At 38.8% G+C, this 21,615-nt stretch overlaps 2 annotated features.

Moving 5' to 3' along the window:
* Positions 8,603 to 8,897: a silencer, noted in NCBI's record as "tiled region #7011; HepG2 Repressive non-DNase unmatched - State 12:CtcfO, and K562 Repressive DNase unmatched - State 12:CtcfO". NCBI's record gives its function as "represses a minimal TATA promoter and a strong SV40 promoter by Sharpr-MPRA in HepG2 and K562 cells {active_cell/tissue: HepG2 | K562}" and the evidence as "EXISTENCE:reporter gene assay evidence [ECO:0000049][PMID:27701403]".
* Positions 11,296 to 11,415: an enhancer, noted in NCBI's record as "active region_24019". NCBI's record gives its function as "activates an Ori minimal core promoter by ATAC-STARR-seq in GM12878 lymphoblastoid cells {active_cell/tissue: GM12878}" and the evidence as "EXISTENCE:reporter gene assay evidence [ECO:0000049][PMID:35858748]".

Here is a 21,615-nt window from a genome sequence, read left to right on the forward strand (position 1 = left end):
GTGTGTTCCTGGGGCAGACATTTATTGACCAGCTGCAGTGTTCCAGGCACTTTACTCAAACCTAGCGATTCAAAAGTGAGTAAGTTATAGGGATGGCTTCTATAACAGATAACATGCTAGAGGAAATGGCATCTAATGTGAGCTTTGAAGAGTGAATAAGCATTCACAAAGGAGGCAGTAGTGTGGAGCAGGACAGGGCCATTTGTGATTCCCAACTCAAATGAACACTCAAACATTGCTTGCACTTTTTTCAACTCTTCCTCAGAGTCACTAACTCTATACTTTGTAGTGCTGAGCCTTCAACGCTGCCCTATATCTATTTACTGTCAGGAAATAAACTAATTTTCTGTTTCTCGAAAAAAGAGAGACCACCGTTCATGAAAATCTTCCATTTATTTTTGCCATCACCTATCCATCCATATCTCCCTCCACCCCATCACCTGGTCTCATAGGAAAATGTATTCCCTCTTCCTCCTAGATAAAACCCAGCCTTTCTTCAAGTCACTGAGACCTGGACCTTTCACATCTCACCTGGAAGCTATGAAATCATCATCTCCATTATCTTTGCATCTTTATCCTCTTCCTTAGGTTCAGCATGAACAAAAGCTCAGCTCCTCTCCATTTCAAAAAGCAAACATGCATATGCACACATGCACACGCACACACAGAAAAACTCTTATTAAAATAATCCCAATCTGTTTTTCCCCTACCAGTACTTAGATTGTTTTATTAATCTCCTCATTGAAAAATCAATGAACTCATCTTAATTCTCATTCTAATTGATCTTTCTGCACCATTGTATATTGCTGATCTTTTCTTCCTTCTTAGAATGCTCTCCTTTCTAAGTAAGATACTCATGGAATACTCTCCTTTCTGAAATATTGACTCTTTACCAGTTCCCTTCCTTTTAGCTGTCTCCTCCTGACTTATTAGTCCTTATCCCTTAAATGTTCGTAGTCTCCAGGGTTCAGACCTTGACCCAATTCTCACTCCATTACCTTTCCCAAGCAATTTTATTCACTTGTAGGGATTACTTTCTCTGACTTCTCACACCAAACCAACAGCAATTTATGTTAGATCTTCCTTCCTAACATTAATCAATTCTAACCTCCTCTCTACATCCCATCTACTGTCACTACTCAGCTTTGGCCATCCTCATCTCCCACCTGGTTTAGAATAAAAGCCTCCTAATGCATCTCTCTGCCTCTTCTGGCCACCCTCCAATTCTTTAAAGCTGTGCAAGAGTGATGTTTCTAAGCGATAAATTTTATCTCTCTGCTATCCTTCTTAAAACACTTGAGCGGCTCCTCAATGCTTTCAGAAGAAAGTCCATATCCTTAATCAAAATTCTCACTGTGATGCAGCAAATTATTTAAGACTTTTCACAATATACTTTTCTGATGTCTCCTCCCCTTCCTTACCCACCAAGCATACACTTGGAAAGATTTTTCATCGTGATTTTTCAATCATGCCATGGTTTTCAAACCTCGTGCTTTTGCTTCTGCTTAAAGTTGAGCCTGGAATACCTTAAATTTACTTACTTGAAAAAATTGCATTTATTCTTCAAAATACAAATAAAATACTTCCTCTCTGAAGCATTTCTTGATATTCCTCCTTACTCTTTCCACTGTGCAAATACACATATCTCAACCAAAGTTAGTTATTATTTCCTCTATATCCCTATCATATTTAATTCCTTCCATTACTTATCACTCATACCAGATTGTTTTATGGCTCTATGATCGCTGTGTTCCTCCTGGGAAATTAAAGACTTAATCCAGCATGACATGGACAGTTGATGTCACAACCAGAACAACAATGATCTAGAGTGCATAAGCCAGTTAGCCATCTCTTAGGCCATGCTGTGTGGTTGATATCATCCTGCCAGAAGGGAAAGACATAGATCTGATAACCTCTGTAAGTCTCCATCTGCTACCGCCATGATTCTATGAATAACCTCTTTAAACATTGCTTCATGACAGAATCTACATAGCTGAGGCCTTTGTTTTCTAAAGGCTACCCTGGGAACAGCAGCAGGAAAAACAGCATCTCTCTCACCACATCATAGGCATCATTAGTGAAGGTGATATCTTGGTAGTGTTCAGACTTGACATCATTCCTAGATGCCTGGATAAACAGAATGACATTTTTAGGACTGCCCCATAAACTGAATCGTTCTGAAAAGTGCCCCAGTGACCCAAGTGGTTGGGCTTTCTGAGTGGTGATTTACTGTGGCTTATGGGGTAGTTGAATGAATTAATTGTGCTTAATTGAGCTATTAGTTCAAAGATCTTTCTGAAGATCAATCCAATATCAAAGTCCTTCTAAAGTCTAAAGAACTTTTTTCTTTTCTAAAATGGAAATTGGGATGGAGAAGTGATTACAAATCTAGTGAACTTATATATTTTAATTTAATTGCAGATACTGGAAAACCCAGTTGTAAGTAAATTATAAAAAGACACACTTCCTGTGCAAATAGAACTGTTTGTAAAGAATTTAAGTTCCTTGGATAAATAATTACTTTAAGCAATAGTTTTATAATATGGAATGGAAGTTCTGGGCATCATGTGCAAAAGATATGATCCACAAAACATGATAGCACTTCAGCTTTGAAAATTTATCCTGCTCTTTGGGGGACCTGGGGGAGTGAAGGATGTGAAAATTTTGGGTCCAAAAGCCTAGGCCTCTCATGAAGTTCATCTTTAACTGCTTATATGACTTAAAGGAAGACAACCACCTGGTATGTCATTTTCCCCCAGTAAAATATGGGTTAAAAACACCTACCTTACAAAGAGACTGTGAATTAGTTATGATAAGTGAAATAGAAGTTTCCTGGGTTCTTAGGAGAAGTCAAACATTCTAAGGCTGAGGTGTCTGGGTCTCTATTGCATCATTTACTCGTTGAGCAAATAGTCATTGAGCACCTGTTATATGTCAAGCACTATTCTAAGATCTGGGGATGAAAAGACAACTAAAGAGACAAAAATTCTGGGGACTCCTAGAGGGAGGAGAAGGGGAGGAAGGCAAAGTCTGAGAAACTACCTACTGGGTACTATACTCACTACCTGGGGGACAAGATCATTCATATCTCAAACCTCAGCATCATGCAATGTACCCATGTAACAAACCTGCACATGTACCCCCTGAATCTAAAATAAAAGTGGCAATTATAATTTTAAAAAGAGTTATTTAATGGGGGAGGAGAAAAGCAAGCAACAAACAAAGAACTAAGTAAAGTAGGTATTAGAAGATGGGAAGATGGGAGGTAGTGTGGAGAACAATAAAAAGGGAAGGGGGCCGGGCAATCCTGTGGGTTGTGGTGGATTTCGATTTTAAATATAAAGCTGAGAAAGGACCTCACGGAGAGAGTGACTTTTCAGAAGCACATGAGGAGGTGAGTGAGATGAGGTGAGAACATGAGGATATCTGGAGAAAGAGTAACCCAGGCAGAGAAAACAAAGGCATGGGAGTCTTGAGATGCAAAAGTAACTGTGTTCAGGGAACAGTGCAAAGGCCAGCATGGCTGCATGGCGGAAAATAGTGAGTTAGCAGGGGGCGAGATGTATACAGCCTTGGAGCCTATTGAAAGGATTTGCTTCTCTGAGGGAGATGAGAGCCACTGGAGCATTTGATGCAGAGGAGGAAAATGGTCTAACTTGCATCTTGAAGTATCCCTCTGGTTGCTGTTTTGAGAATAGATTTGTGGGGAGATGCCCAGGTGGAAGCCGTTAGGAGGCAGTTGCAGTAGTGCAGTTAGTGACCCAGACCAGGGAGGTGGCAATGGAAGCAATGAGAAGTAGTCAGACGCTGGATATATGTCACAAATAGAGACCTCACAGGACTTCCTATTGGAATGAATTGGGAGCGTTAGAGAAAGAAAGAAGCCAAGATTGACAGCAAGGTGTTTGTCCTGGCAAGTGGAAGAATGTACTGGCCATTACAACTCCATTGGTGACACTAGCTCAATTTGGGGGGAACTTAAAGCAAATAATTTAACATGATCTCTTTATCTGCCTTTGTTATGTATCTTTCTAAATCATAAAATGGGAATACTCAACTGAGAATTTTTTAAGACCTTAATTGAAAGATGCTATCTAATAAAATTTTTTCTTGTGTCTGTTACATTAAAAGGCTTGTTTGATTCTAATAAAATATCTATGATATAAAACATGTCTACAAGAAAGGTTAACAAGAAAGAAATGATAGAATATTATTACTCAGGTTTTCTAAGTGAAGAAACTGAGGTCCTGAGAAATTGACATGCACAAAGATGCAGTTCTTCAGATTTCTTCTTCAGAGTACTCTCTAGCATAACCATTACCTCTCTGACAACAGTAAGCCCCATCCATGGTACTTTTTATAATGATTTTTCTCCAGAAAGGCTCTTCGTTTTAATAGCTAATGAACCCGTCAACTAGAGAATATTGATTGTTATATAGGACACAATCTATTACCAGGTTTCCTCTTTCTTTTCCTTTAAATCCTGTTTTCCCACCTTTCAAGTTGAAAAGAGTCTCTAATCTAGGACTTTTATTGTTCCTTATATATAAGTTAAAATGTGAAGAATGACTTGAAATGCAAATGCTACTTTAACATCTTTCCAGCAAATACTACTTCTTGTACTAATGCTAGAGAGTGTGAGATAAATAAATTGGAATTCAATTTTTCCTTCTTCTCAACTCTCTCTGTCATTTTAGAACATTGTGAAAGGCAGCAAGCTATGCTAGAAGATAAAGCTTATAACAATTTTTATTTCCTCTGTTGTGGCCCCCCCACCGCCTTCCCCCACCAAAAAATCTTAACTGTTTGTTTTATAGTCTTCTCTGCTCTCAGGGGATTTGAGGTATGCAAAGCTTTGGCTGAGATTGGAAAGAAACAGCTCAGAGGTGGGGACTGCTGCTTAAAATGTTCCTTTGTTTCATTTTTTTTTCCTGTTATTGTATATGAAACTTTGAAACTATCCTGACTTTCCATTCCAAAGGCACAGGCCAGGACAGGTGCCAATCGCAGCGACCATTTGGTGGAGGGGTATACATGATGATTGGTTTTTATGGGGGCTCAGAGTGAAAGCAGAGGGGATCCTCAGAAGGTTTCATTATGAGATTAAGATGTTGGCCTTGTTAGGGTAAACTGTAATCCCCCGTCACCTTTTGGTGAGCGGGATCCTGTGAGAACATTCTACAAGGGAGATCTTCAGGTTTAATACCAACAAGCACAATGCAGGGTCCTAGCAGCCCAAGAACTGAGTGGAAACTCCAGGGCTGGGGATGCTAAACTCCATCTGTGTTGACTTGCTTTGTAACCTGAGGCAAGTGTCTTTAAATTCCCTCAGCCTCCACTTCTTCATCTAAGTCAGGCTTGCCACAGGCAGAGGTATTATGTAAATACATAGATACTATCAATCCTTGGGGAAAAAAAAAAATGCTTTGTTGAGCCAGCAGAGCTCTCTACTGCTTAAAGCAGGGTGTGAATAAGAGCTCCTGGGTCTTTCACCAAATCGCTGAACATGTTCCGAGATGCTGTAGAAAAGGTGCTTTCATGGCTTTAGACACAGTACACAACCGCTGCTCAGATTGAGTAGTATCTTTTTAATGGCAGGGTTGGGAAGGTGTGTTTTATTTTTCTTTTGGATAAGTCACTTGGAAGTGATGGACTTATGGGTCTGCTGGCCTGGCCATTTGACTATGTCGAACAGCAATCCCACCTTTAACTTGTTAGATCCATTTTCCATACTCCCCTCTATTCTCTCTCCCCTCCCAAATACACACACACACACACATACACACACACACACACACACAACTCTGCATTTGCTTGACCTGTAGAGTATGATTTGAGGGATGCCAAAGTGCTTCCTGTTGCCACATATATGCATTCCGAAACTTTTCTCCTGTTACAACACTCAAACCTGTTGTTTAAATAGAAAATAAGAGTCAAGCATACCCCATTGTTGTTAATGGGATCCGATCTGTGTCTACCAGTGTGGGCTCTGGGTTTGAATCTCAGCCTTGTCACTCAGCTTTGTGAATTCTCTGAGCCTTGATTTTATCTTCTGTAAAATGGTAGCAGTAATGGTACAGCCCTCATAGGGTTGCTGTGCAAAGTAAAGATGATAATGATGCAAAATCCTTGGAATATTGCCTGATGCATAATAAACACATAGTAGACACAGCTGCTGAGGTTATTATTGAAATGGTACAGCGGAAAGAAATGGTACGGAGGAAGGTAAATCAGGATGGCGTAATGGGATAGAGCAAACCATAGACTTGTACTAACCATTTATGAGCATTGAAGTTAACTTTTATTCTGCTTCTGCTGATGGCAAAATTTAGGCAGGCTTGCCAGAGCTGCCTTGTCCTGTAAGACAAAGACTAGCCTAACCAGTTCTTGCTAATAACTGGAGTGACCTCTAGTGGTTCTGATTTTTTTCATAGTGGAAAACACAAAACAAACCAGACTCACCCAAACCGTACACTATTTTGCTTGTACACCCAAAATTCAGAAGCTGATTAAATGGACACTAGTCTAGTGTTTAATTGAATTGACTGATTTATTAATAGAAGCCTTATTTCTACCAGACAGTTTCAAGAATCCCTTCCGAGTATGACCACACCCTCACTTCCATTTGGCCTTCTCTCCATTATTACTGAGTTGGGGGAGTAATTTATTAGCATTCAATTAAACTGTATAGATGTATTTAAAACATATATGATGCTTCCCATAGGCAAGACACTGTGCTAGGCAAAAAATAACGTATCAAGATGAAATATGGACAGACCCCTTTGAAAATACTAAAAAAGTACCTACTTTTAAACTGTACTAAAATAGATGTCGACACAAAGAATTACCACCATCTTATGCCTTACGGCATAAGCAACTTTGAAAAAGGCAACTTTGCTTTTTCTGCTGTGGGAAGAAACAGATCCCCTCAGAATAAAACAAAATAAAGCATGCATATCCATTGATACACAAGAGAATTCTCATCCATGGGCTGGGAGGTTTGGCCGAGAGTAGAGCCAGGTAGCAAAGGAGAAATGTACCCTGCTATGGTTTAAAAAAGAAAAATCAACATTAAATAAGGTAAAATTCAAAATTCAAAAATTAATTAAAGAAGTCATTTTAAATGTGTTTATTCTGCAACCATACATCATTTATGTTCTAGGTAATTCTATCTTCAAATAAATGTACTCCTCTTTACAAAAGCAACGCATTAAATATGCAAGTGAAAATGAAAACTTTTTATACCTTTATATAATTTTTATATAAATAAAACCACAAGTTATTTATATTACCAAATTCTATTATACATTGTAGAATATTAGTAAAGTACATATGGCCTATGCATAAAAAATAAGAGTCCCAAAGAAAATACTAGTGTCCTGATATAAGGCCCATACTCTGATTTTTTTTTTTACTTGATGAGTATTTGAGAGTGGAAAATATTTTTAGCTATCCATGCAAAGTGCAATTGTCTCTTATTTTTCCACTTGTACTTCATGAAGACCTTTGGTGATATCTAGTTGACAGGCTAATAGCCTTACCACAAAGAGCTATTTAGACTTGGCAGAAATTTAGAAATTCCTGAAGCCTAAATCAATTTAAAAACCTAAAAACAAATTCACAAAACTTCAAATTCTGCCCTGGCACAACTTTATTTGGTAATAGCGTGTAGGGGGATTCATTCCAAACACAATGTCTTCTAACACTGGAATTTTCCTGAAGCACCAGGTTTCATCATTGGGAATTCTGTTCCACTTCTTTTTAGGGTTCCTATTTAGTGTCATTTATGTTCAGCTTATGCCCTGGGAGTACAGAAATAGCCAGTTGAGAGTATATAAAGTGTCCTGTTTTTAAAACTTATTTTTAAATTTGTTTTTATTCTTTTAAAATTATTTATTTCTTTATTTGCTTTCTTATTCTTCTTTATTTTTATTATATTTATGATTTATCTTATTTATCTTTAGCTGGTCATCAGTTTAAATAAATCTTAAAATGTTCCACATCTTAAAGATGTTGACTTCTCCAAGGTGGGGCTGGGTCTGATTAGGAGTTAAAACTGAGTGGAAAAAACAATTCACAAAGACATATTACAGGAAACATTTATAGGAAAAAAACTGAAAATTAGAATGTCATGTGCACCAATACAGTATGATGGTCTTTAAATTCTCATTGTCAAATCTTATTTGGTTCTATATTTAATATTTAAAACTATATTGACAATCTATTATTAGTCTTTCATAAGAAATTAATATTCTTAGAAAACATTCAGTGGTGCTTTGCACACAGTTGAACATCTTATACTTTTTTCAGCATTTTTACTCAAGCATTGGGCTGATAGTATTAATAAATATTGCTATTAATTATTTGAACTTAAATATTACCACTTAAAACAACTATAAACATGTTTAAAACAAAAAAAAGAGATTGGTTGAAAATACAGATTTAGAGTTAACCCTTCATGATAAATGAGAGAAGCTATGATATCTGGGTGTCTACCTTTGACTTCAGAGATGTAACAAAACTGGATACGGTATTAGGGCCATTGGGTGATAACTGCTCCAGGACGTTTTAAAGAAAGTAAAGTTAGCTTTAAGCAGCTTCACACGATTTTGGGGGATGCAATAGTGATTCATGCCTTTGAAAATTTGCAATCTTGCGTGTGTTGTTTCATACCATTCAGTTTTATCCACCTGCCATTTTCATCTGCCTTTTGAGTATTGGGGAACAGGTTTGAGCCTCTCGGTCCCTTGGGTAATGGTTTATCTCAGCAGTCTGCCGCCACCTAGTGTCTAGGATAGAGTGTCATCTATTAACTCACACTTCGTAACTGAAGGAAGAACTCCAACTGCTCACCAGAAAATACATAACGGCAAAAGCAAGCACACATGGGTGGTATGATAATGGCTCCCAAACTGATCCAATGATGCCATCACATGATATTCAGTTCTCATTAACACATGTCTTACAATGGGAATGGCAGGACATGGGGTGGGTAGGAGCGGCTGGTGGCAACAGTTCCGGTTTCACATTAAATCAGCAAACCACCTTACACATTTTCAAGCATCTGAGTCTCAAACCCCATTAAGTTAATGATGAGAATCCTCATAGCTCCAGCCTTACCTGATGAGTTTCACTAACACAATCACGAAAGCTCTGGTAGAATTTCAGAGGGATTTTCATTGAATTAGGTCTACCATTTTCAGAGATACTTTTGGCTACTTGGTCTTAGCATAAGGGAAATTTCTCTTTATTTTGCCAACAAAATTATAGACCTCTTTCACTTAAATCTTCCATTTATATCAAGCTACACTGGGATCATGTGTTACATATGAAAGTCTACTTCTTACTAGGATATGACAAACAGTATTTGACATCCACTCTTCTTTCTGAGCCTGTTCCACTTATAGCTGTTCTGAAGAATATATTTCATTTCAGGAACCAAACACAGTGCTGTTACATAAAGTCTGATTGATAGGAGTTAAGGTGGGCAGAAGTTATCAAAATCTGAAAATTAAGTGTTTCAAAGGGAAGGAATGCATTATCATTAGAGCAGTGGGAAGATAGAATTGCCTGTGCTCACTGGATGATTGGTGGGGAGCGTCAGCTTCCACTGCAGATCCCAAGCACTGAGCCAGCCTAGCTTCCTGAGAACTGCTGACCTCAAAATGCAGGAATGATGTTGCCAGACGAGGGTCCCTTCAGCAATCGATGGGCTCACACTGAAGTCTTGTTTGCTCGTCTCCCTGTGTGTCTCACTAGACTAGAATACTAAAACTCATGAAGAAACGGCCTCAGCGACTTGGAGCCAAAATGAGCACAGGGAATAAAAAAGAGAAATTAAAAATATCAGCCTCACTGTGACAGCCAGTCTAACATCTCCCTCCCTGCTCATCTCTCCCTTTCCCTCCCTACTGATTATCTCAAAATTCTTATGCTTCCTTATTCTCTGTCCCTGTCATACGCAGACACATGCACTCACATGTTTATCCCTCCTCTTTCTTTTCTGCAAGAAATATATGCCACAGAATCACTCTTCTGGTAGTAAAACAACCATTGGGTTTGGTTAAAACCCACAGCTGTAAAGTTTACCCATCCCCATTCAATTTCCCAATTGATTGCCAATCTTCTTCATCATTTCCTACATGGATATTGGGCTTTAAATGCTACAGCATCATACAAAGGAGCTGTAAATACAGCAAACATAACATTTATCTTTACCTTTACAATCCTGAATATTTTCATTTAAATAGTCTCATTTATTAAGTTTAGCCTTTCTCTGTTCTGATCATTAAGTACTTGGTTACCAGAAGGAAAACTGGATTTTGGATGAATAATTTATTCTGATAGTGTTAGTTTTGTTGTGTCCCTGAATGTTCGTGATATAGTTAATGAAGATGGGTCACTAAACCTATGTCACTGATGAGAAAAAAATTCCTACATGATAAACAGCAATGGAACCTGCATGCAGGTATGAGTATATATGTGTATATGCATATGTACACACACACACACACACACAGAGACACACACACAGAGGAATAAATATATGAACATACTGCAGAGATACTGAAGCCAGGAACAAGAATCTTGACTTAAATATTAGACAAAGAAAAGCTCCTTTTGTGAAAAAAACCATCTTAAAATATAAATTTTCAGTGCAGAACTTCAGTTACCAATTGTTAGTCTTCATAGTAAGCCTGATGATAATAAAATGTCTATTTTTTGTTTTTTAGAGACAGAGTCTCACTCCATCATCCAGACTGGAGTACAGTGGCACAATCATAGCTCACTGTAACCTCAAACTCCTGGGCTCAAGCTGTCTGCCTCAGCCTCCCGAGTAGTTTGGGTCACAGGCACGTGAGACACACCCAGCTAATTTTTTACTTTTTACTTTTTTTTTCCATAGAGATGAGTCTCATTATGTTGCCCAGGCTGGTCTCAAACTCCTGGCCTCAAACCATCCTCCTGTCAAAACACTTGGATTACAGGCATGAATCACCGCACCTGGCCAATAAAATGTCTATGCTTGTTGGAAAAAAAAAAACAAAACTCTGTTTATTGACACTCGCTGTATTATGTAAAGAAGGCTGAGAAGCCTTTTGCACACTGTTTTATGAAAATAACAGACAATACCCATCAGTTGTGGCGTGACTATATTGATGCGCTCTTGGTAAGGTGCTAAGAACAATCCTTTCTGTAAAAGGATGAAAAACAAAACCCTTGAGCAGTAAAAGATGACACATTCCACAAATGTTAGCTAATTTCCTGCAACAGAGCATAATGAAAGTGCATGTAGACAGGGTGTGCTTTATCTGCAAAAAGAGGAACAAAAAAAGAAACAAAAGCATCATCATATCTTTTGGTATCCAGAAATAAAATCCACTCAGTTAAATGGTGATTATGAGCAACTTTGAAAAGATTGTCAATATCGAATGCTATTTTTAAACAACAAAAGTTTCTCTTCATACCTCTAGCAGTCTTACATTTTAAAGAAACAGGCTCAAAATAGCACAACACATATTTCTAGGTTTCGATCATTAAAATTCTTCATCTGTGGACTACTAGCCATAAATAATCAACTTGAGAAAATAAACCAAACTTGATGGCTTTCTTGTTTCTTCTTACCATTTCTGGATCTTTGAACTTTCCCTTCCACTTTCTCAACCAAAGATAGCCTAAACAAAGAAAGCCAAAGCCAGCTTTTGCCCAATCTTTCCGATTGTCCTGCATAAATCAAACTAGAAGTGACCATATTCCTTGTTTCACTGAAAAGGGACTTAGTGTCATAGCTAAACCTTTCACTGGAGAAGAGAAATGGGGTTGGACAGAAAGACTAATTATAAACCTGCCAGTCAAGGTTTACCATAGAGAAACAACAGGAAATATCTATGAAGCTGTTCACAGCTTGTCAAGATGACCAATGGAAGACCACATATATGACTTACCTTGACAATAGCTTAAACTCTGGAATTTCCTTCCACTGTAGTAAGTTTTATGGTGCCCTTGAACCAGGGAAGCAGTGTGCTGTGCCGGGGGGCGGGGGTGGTTGGGGGAACTCAGGCTTTGCTGATAAACAAACCTAGGTTTGAATCCTCCAAAGTCTACTTACCAGGTGGATGGTTTCTACAATTTTTTAATGAGTCTGAACTTCTTCATTGTAAAATGAGTATAAAATCTCATTTGCAATACAATACCTAATTGTATTGTGTGAGGAACTAGAGATAATATGCAAAAAAGTACCTACAGCACATCTTTAAACATTATAAAGGGCGTTACAGGAGTTGAGCTTTGTTAAGTCTTTGTGAAGGTAGAGCTGTCCTAAACTGAAGTCACTCTACCATAGTCTGTCTCATCTCAGATATGTTTTTGAAAGGCCCTTTCATAAGAGGTTCTGTAAAAAGTAGTGCTCATGGGGAAAGTATTATTCTGAAATCATCCTGCTTAAAATCAACTTTCTGAACTGCCATGCAGTCTTGGCAAATACGAATTTCCATCACCCCTTTGCTACATGCCAAGTTGGAATATTGAGAATGCTGTCTATTATTCAATCTAAGTAAAGTACATTACTTTTAATTGGAGGTTGTTTCACTGCCTTTTTGAATTAGGAGACTAATCATTCATCAGAAACACACAATTAAGGATTTTTGTGTTAATTTGGCATTATTGCCATTGATCCAAAAGTGTTGTTATCTTTTAAGCAAGAGCTGAAGTGAGTTCCTCCCATATGTTTTGGCAGAATTGGTGCATCTGTAAGATTCAGCGCTAAGCCCTCCATGCCTTGGCATAGCAGCTGCACAGATCAGTGCTCCGGGGCTTGTTCCAAGCACATCACCTCATAGATTTGCAACAATAAATCAGAAATTTCAAATCTACTGAACAAAGTTTCCTACCGGATCTGTAAGTTGATTTACTTTTGCAAACATCTATAAAGCATCTTTTCATGTAAGTCACTGTATAAATATTATTAACTTTTCAGCTATCTTGCCCAGAGCCCAAACAAGCTGCAGAAAATATTTTATTTTACCTCAAAAAGCATTTTATGCTGGATAAAGAGAATACATACAAAGTTTCAAAGCTTCAAAGAGAGAAAAAATATTTCAGAAACCTACCAGTATTTACTATGGTTTGATTAGAAGTAAATCTTAGATAGGCAAAGATTTCTTCAACTGCACAGTAAAAGCACCCCCAAAAGAAAAAAGTTGATAAATTAGACTTTATCAAAACTAAAAATGTCTGATTATCAAAAGAGTCCATTAAGAAAATAAATAGACATACCAGAGAATCAGAGAAAATGTTCGTAATACATATCCGAAGATGGACACATACCCAGAGCATATTTAAAAATCGCTACAAGTCTCCAACTTTAAAAGTGCAATAAATATTAGCAAAAGTTTTGAATAGACACATTCCACAAGAAGATATACAAGTAGCCAATAACCACATGAAAGAGTTTTCAGCATCATTAGTCATCCACAAAATGCAATTTATTTATTTATTGAGACAGGGCCTTGCTCTCTCTCCTAGGCTGGAGTACAGTGGTGCAATCTCAGCTCACTGAAGCCTTGACCTCCCTGGCTCAAGCAATCCTCCCATCTCAGCCTCCCAAGTAGCTGGGACTGCAGGTGCACACCACCATGCCCAGCTAATTTTTGTATTTTTTGCAGAGACTGGGTTTTGCTATGTTACCCAGGCTGGTCTCGAACTCCTGGGCTCAAGCAATCCACCCACCTCAGCCTTCCAAAGTGCTGGGATTACAGGAGTGAGCCGGCGTGCCCGGCCAGTAAAATGCAATTTAAAATAAATAAAATACCATTTATACTCACTAGAACGGCAAAAATTGAAAGCAATGACAACACCAAGTGTCAGCAAGGACATGCAGCATCTGGAGCTCTTGGACCTTGCTGGTGGTGATGTCATACAGTAAACCACTATGGAGAACTATTTGACTTCCAGCAATTCCTCTCCTACCTATTTACAAAAGAGGAATGATAATCCATGTCCACAACAAGAAATTGACTTGTACAAGCATATTCATAGCAGTTTTATTTATAATAGTCCCAAACTAAAAGTAGCTCCAGTGTCCCTTAACAGGAAAATAGTACACACATTGTGGTATTTTCCCATAATGGAACACTCTTTAGTAATAAAAAGAAAAGCACTGCTGACACACATGACCACCTGGATGCATCTCAAAAGCATCACGCTGAATGGGAGAAGCCGGGTACAAAAGGCTAGAGGGTATGACTCCACTTCTGTGAAATCCAAATTCAGACAAAACAAATGTATGGTTCTAAAAATCAGCTAGTGTTGAGAACGTGGCTGGAAAGAAGCACAGAGAGATTTTTAGGGGGGATGGAGATGCTCTTATCTTGCTTTGGATGGAGGTTACAAGGGTGTATACGAATGTTAAGTCTCAATGACTGAAAGGGCTCCACTTCTGCTAATAGCCAAGTAGCTCCTACCAGGTTATTCTACCCTCTAATAATAACTATAAACTCTGGGGAAAATGTTAAAAAAAAAAAAACTATCTGAAACTCCTAGAGAGTGAGGAAATCAGACAAATACTGGAAGGCGAGTATTGTTTGGATAGACAGAATACAAGTGAGAGAATTTGGTATTTGTATGGCTTTAGCCTGAGGGCATACCACAGTCTATATACCAAGCAGAGCAGCTACAGCTTGGACGTGTGCTGCCTTACTGGCTTGGAGAACACGATATCAGAAGTTGGGTTGACTTCTACAGCTAGAAATGAGGAAATCATCCCCCAGAAAAGACAGACAGACACAGGGAGCCTCAAATACTATGTGTATACTCTGCTCAAACTGTTTCTTAGCCCCCAGACCACACCTGCGGACTTCCAGCCATCTAGCTGAGGCCAAAGAAACAGCTAAACTTTTAGCTGCCTTCAGCTGCAGGGCACAGGGTTTGCAGTTTGAGTCTAGACATCTGCCTGCTAGCATGTCTCTACAACATATCATTTGCCCAGAATATAATCCAAAATTATTCAATAAAGAAAGAGGAAAGCATTACCCATACTCAAGAGAAAAGGCAATCAATGGAGCCTGACCCTGAGGTGTTCCAGATATTGGAACCAGCAGGCAAGGAATTTAAAGCACCTATTACAACTATGCTATAGGATGTAAAGGACAGTGGTCAGAATGAAGAAAAAGATAATAAATGCAGCCAAGAATTCAACACTAGATAAAAAGAACAAAGTGGAAATTCTATATCTGAAAAATCAAATACCTGAAATACAAATTCAATGGATGGGCTTAATAGCAGATTGGAAATTTTAAAAGAAAAGAGTTATTGACTTTTAAAACAGAAAAACAGTAATGATTTAATCTGAAGAAAAAAGAGTGGAAAAAATATTGCAAATAATGAATAAAATCTTAGAGACCTACAGGGCAATATTAAAAGACGTAACATACACAGGATCTTTAGAGTTCAAGAATGAGAGGAAAGAGAGAATGAGCGTCCCCACAACCAGAAAAATATTTGAAGAAATAATGGCTGAAATGTTTCCATGTTTGGTGAAACACAAAATTTGTAGACTCAAGAATCTCAGCCAACCCTGAATCTAGGTGATCAGATGTGAATGTTCACTGTACAAATCTTTCCATTTTTCTCTGTTTAAAATTTTTCATAATACAGATGTTTACAAATAATATAAAAACTCATCAAAACAACTAAGATGTGCATATTTTTTATGTTAATTATATCTCAATTTCTTTAAGTAGCTAATCTAATTATAGAATGTATTCGGTGGATATTCAAGCTTCAGGCATTAACTGGAAGGTACAATATTTCTCACCTTTTCGATTCCTGCTTAACGTAGGTAAATTGTAGCCCATGGGAGAGGGGGTGGGCGATTGGCATTGTCTGAGATGGCTTTGCTCCCAAATCCTCTGCTCACTCATCAATTCTCATGTCATTCAGTAAAAGCTCTTGAATTTGTCTCATGGATAACTATACACATCTAACCAAGAGGTTTTGAAAGACCAAGGAAAGAAGGATGAGTGACAACACAATGCCATGCACAGCTTCCTCCCACTGGGCTGTTGGTGACCTGTGTGTGCATAAAAACAATCAATTGGAAAGCCCACCCTTTCAACCCTGTATGTAGGTATATGATGACAAAGAATACAGTTGAGAAGGTTAGTGCCCTACCTTTGTCATTAACTACTTACATGACTATAAATAAACTCCTAGATTGACTGGGAACCCCATTTCTTCTCTACAATACATAAAGGCAAAAAAAGAATGTATGTAGGCATATGATGACAAAGAATACAGTTCAGAAGGTTAGTGCCCTACCTTTGTCATTAACTACTTACGTGACTATAAGTAAACTCCTAGATTGACTGGGAACCCCATTTCTTCTCTACAGTACATAAAGGCAAAAAAAGAATTGCTCCCTCAAGCCCCTTTCATGTCTAATATTTGTGGTCATCACTGGGCTCTTCAGAAAAGGATATTAATAATTCTGTAATTCTGGGAAATCATCTGTGATGCAGGGTGAACCAAGTCAGCTTGAGACAATCTCTGGCCAAAGTCAAGAATACAGTTTCAGCTGACCCCATTTGAACCCAGCGAATGTGAACATTTTCAAATAAGCATCCCAAACTATTAACAATTGTTCTTTCTTCAAAAAAGGGAATTGACATTAACAATCAAGTGGGTTTTAAAAGATACAAAAATCCCCAAAGAAAAAGTCTTGTGCTAGGATTCAGTTCGTACAGAACTGACATCATGTAGGGGGAAAGGAAAAAAAAACCACCTACAATAAAATGTTATGCCTGTCCCTGTTTTCAACGTCCTCCCACGTATCTCCTGCTTCTGTTGAAACTTGTTATTGCTAAAGTACTTTTTTATTATAAAAAGAGCTACAGTTCCAAAAGAGATTATTGGCACGCAAATTCAGCTGCGGTGTTAGAGGCAATTAAATTGTGTTTGGTAGTTTCTTTCTTGGGCGTTTGATATTATTACGGTTGTCAATGCGCCCAGAAGAGGGCTGCTTTCCATTAATCATACATACAGAAATATAACAAGTATTATTCTTAGAAATATTACACTAATCTTTGACTATTTCTTTTTGACGGCAAAGAGATAGATTATGTCAGGCAATATTGGAAAAAATAAAAACAAAGACCTAGCTACTGATAAAAAGAGATATATGTTCAATTGCTAATCAAAACATACAAGTAACTCCAAAAGGCTCATCCATTAATACAGGGTGCTTTATATTCAGAAAATTATTTCCAGAGTAAATCTAAAACATAATCAAAATTTGTTTAAACAATAAGCCCTCGACTCTGCAATACCATGACACTGTGAGACCATGAGACTACAGTACTAGGCACATCCACAGACCGTGAGCCTGTGAGACTGAAGACCATGACGAAGTGGGACAAGGCAATGATGAGACGTTGAGACCACAAGACTGCAAGACAGCAAGTCTCAAGATTGCAAAATGTCCATGTTAAGATTGTGAGAACTCTGAGTTTGTGATGGAATGCAGTTTCCATTCCTTTTCTGCGACATCTGACTTATTGTTCTACTAAGCAGTTAAATGAGCAGAAAGAACTTAAAGGCTAGGCATGGTGGTTCACACCTGTAATTCCAGCATTTTGGGAGGCCAAGGCGGGTGGATCACTTGAGTTCAGGAGTTTGAGACCAGCCTGGCCAACATGGTGAAACCCCATCTCTACTAAAAATACAAAAATTAGCCTGGCGTGGTGGTGGGCACCTGTAATCCCAGCTACTTGGGAGGCTGAGGCAGGAGAATCACTTGAACCCAGGAGGTGGAGGCTGCAGTGAGCCAAGATCACACCATTCTCCAGCCTGGGCAACAGAGCAAGACCCTGTCTCAAATAAATAAATAAATAAATAAATAAATAAAATAAAAAATAACTTAAAATATTCTGTTAATTTATTTGGAAATAACTCACCTTGGATCTCTTTGTCTTTTTAAAATAATTCTTTGGGTAGTTAATTTAGATTCATTAAAATTATAAGAGACTTCTGGCTTTAGGATGGTCAAGCAGAGACATTTCTTTATGTCTTTCCTCTTGACAACCACTTCATATTAACCAGAATAAGAAACACAAACTCCTGTTTTGATGAAATTTTCAATCGCCATCCACAAAGTAGGAAGAGAGAAAACAGTTGCTGGGATAGTATAACTTAACAGGAGAGTGAAAGGTCAAATCTAAATTTTGCAGAAGGTGATGCCAGCAAGCAACAAGCAAATTTGCTTTACAGACCCAGGGAAAGGCTTAGGAATTGGAGGCACTGGATACTTTGAAAGGTGAAGGTCAGGGAGAAGGGCTAAACACAGCGGTTTTACTGGAAATCTGTTTCAAAAGCAGTTAGATACCAGTGTTTCATCCTTTCCAAACAAGCAGGCCACTTTCCTTCCACTTCTGCTACTGAATATAAGAGGTAATTTATTTAGGGAAAGAAAATTAAAGAGGCTCAATATTCAGAAACACCAAGCACAGAGGAAGGTGGTAGTAAATCACTACACTGCAATCAGAAGAAAAGTCTGTATACTACATACCTACCTCTGTCAATTCCCAACTGACAGAATGCCAGGAGTCAGGCTTATACATCCTTCCAGATGAGAGATGAGAGGATCCATCTCTGGAGAAAGTGAAGCAAGCCAGAAAAGAAACCCAGATACTGACATTTTGGGGCCTCACTCAACATATCAGAGATGGTTAACTGCCATCACAAATAGACTCAAAAAAAGCCTGATGGTGCAAACACATTTATGTTTAATTCTTGCTGTGTAAGAGTCATGCCATCCTGCAGGCACCTGAGCTGATAGAATCTCTACTGTCTTTGACATATGATTTCTAAGGTCATTTTCTGAAGCTCTTTTTTATTCCAGCCATAAAGGAGTAGATTAGGGTATTTTAATGGACCAGGTCTGGAAGTGGCAAAAATCACTTCTGCTAATATTCCATTGCACAGAACTCAGTCACAAAGGCACTCTTTTTTTTTTTTTTTTTTTTTTTTTTGAGACAAGGTCTCACTCTGTCGCCCAGGCTGGAGTGCAGTGGCATGATCTCGGCTCACTGCAACCTCCGCCTCCTGGGTTCAAGTGATTCTCCTGCCTCAGCTTCCTGAGTAGCTGGAATTACAGGCATGTGCCACCAGGCTTGGCTAATTTTTTTTTGTATTTTTAGTAGAGACAGGGTTTCGCCATGTTGGCCAGGCTGGTCTCGAACTCCTGATCTCAAGTGATCCACCCACCTTGGCCTCCCAGAGTGCTGAGATTACAGGCGTGAGCTACCGTGCCAGGCCCATAAAGGCATTCTTAACTACAAGGAGGCTGGGAATGGATTTTGGTGAGCAGCTGGAAGTTTTTGCCACACTCAACCAAACAGCTAGTTCTGTGACTAATGACTTGACACAGCCCTCCACTCAGTAAGCCCTGTCTCTGCAGAGAGGCTTTTAGTGCTCACACCTGGTCAAATATAAACAAGCATCCATGAAACAAGAGTAGGACACAATACAAATAGAATAACTAGACAGGATTTTTGGAAATTAAAAGTATTAAAGCCAAAATAAAACATTCAATTAAAATGTTGAAAAATTAAACTAATCTCCCAGAAGTGGGAATAAACAGAGATGAGAAGAATAAAAAGAAAGGAAAGAAAAAATTTATACGTAGGGATGTAAAGACCGTTTTAACATCAGCACTGGAAGTTAGAAGCAAGAGATCGGTGTCCTCAAAACTTTGAGTAAAAGTATCCACCCGGCCAAATGATTAACCAAGTATGAGGACAAAATAAAGAAAATGTCAGACATGCAAAGCTTCAAAACATTGATCTTCCATCAGTCCTTACTTAGGAAGCCAATAACAAAGAGAAGAAACAAAAACAAGCAAAACAAGAGAAGAGGCCGGGCGCGGTGGCTCACGCCTGTAATCCCAGCACTTTGGGAGGCCGAGGCTGGCCAATCACGAGGTCAGGAGATCGAGACCATCCTGGCTAACAAGGTGAAACCCCGTCTCTACTAAAAATACAAAAAATTAGCCGGGCGCGGTGGCGGGCGCCTGTAGTCCCAGCTACTCGGGAGGCTGAGGCAGGAGAATGGCGTGAACCCGGGAAGCGGAGCTTGCAGTGAGCCGAGATCGCACCACTGCAGTCCGCAGTCCGGCCTGGGCGACAGAGCGAGACTCCGTCTCAAAAAAAAAAAAAAAAAAAAAAAAACAAGAGAAGAAGGAGGTAAACACAGGATTCAAGAAATAGGGCACCCAAAACAGGAAGGAAGAGGTGCAGAAAAGTCTTAGAAAGATGGCAAAGAGATGTCTCAGTATAAGAGTTATGTACAGGCCCACAGACAAACAAATACATATTGAAAAATTAAACAGAAGTCAACAAGAGTGGTTGTCTTCAGAGAAAAGGAAAGTGGAGCTCCTTATCAAAATAGACTTTACTATATGAAAAATTTTTATTGAGAAGTGTTTAACATAATTAGTGGGTAATACGGCAAAACTACAAGGTCAGAGAAAACTGAGCAGAGAGGTGAAGGATAACAGACGACATATTGCCCTGTAATCCCAGCACTTTGGGAGGCCGAGGCAGGCGGATCACGAGGTCAGGAGTTTGAGACTAGCCTAACACAGTGAAACCCCATCTCCACTAAAAATACAAAAATTAGCTGGGCATGGTGGCACATGCCTGCAGTCCCAGGTACTTGGGAGGCTGAGGCAGGCAAATCACTTGAAACCAGGAGGCGGAGGTTGTGGTGAGCCAAGATCATGCCGCTGCACTCCAGCCTGGGGAACAGAGCGAGACTCCGTCTCAAAAAAAAAAAAAAGACTACATATTGGCTAAAGAGTACACTGCTCAGGTGATGGGTGCACTAAAATCTCAGAATTCACTACTAAAGAACTCATCCACGTAACTAAAAACCACCTGTTCTCCAAAAATTATTGAAATTAAAAAAGAAAACTAAGCAAATGGAAAAATAAAATTATTAATTACAGAAAGAAAAGTTATACAAGAAGAAATATAATCACAGTATACAACAAGATAGAGTAAACAATATTTACATAGACTTTTAGTTATCCTAATTTGGTTCCTAATGGAATCGGAGCATGATTTAACTGGATCTTAAGCTTCGTAAGTTTCTCACGGGCTGCAGTCAAGGTGTCAGCTCAAATACTATCATCTCAGCTAAACAATTGACTGGGGAAGGAAGCGCTTCCACGCTCACTCAATAGTTGTTGGCAGCATTTGGTTTCTCACAGGCTGTTACAAAGAGCTCCAGTCCCTCAATGGATGTTGGCCAGAGGCCACTTTCAAATCCTAGCCATGTGGGCCTCTCCAATATGGCAGTGTGATTCAGCAAAGCCAAGAAAGCAATATAGCCAGTCTGCTAGAAAGCCAGAAGGTATACAATCTTATGTCACATAATCACAGATGCGGCATTCTTTGAGATATTGCCCTCTTTTATTGATTAGAAGCAAGTTACTCCAGGAGATGAGATTACACGAGGCCATGTAAACCTGGAGGTGAACATAAGTGGAGCCATCTTAGAAGCTGCCTAACACACACAGTTAAAATAATTTTTCAGTTTTTATGGGTTGAATTCAATGTT

This window comes from Homo sapiens, chromosome 6 (assembly GCF_000001405.40).
Source record: "Homo sapiens chromosome 6, GRCh38.p14 Primary Assembly".
NCBI classification, from domain to species: Eukaryota; Metazoa; Chordata; class Mammalia; order Primates; family Hominidae; genus Homo; species Homo sapiens.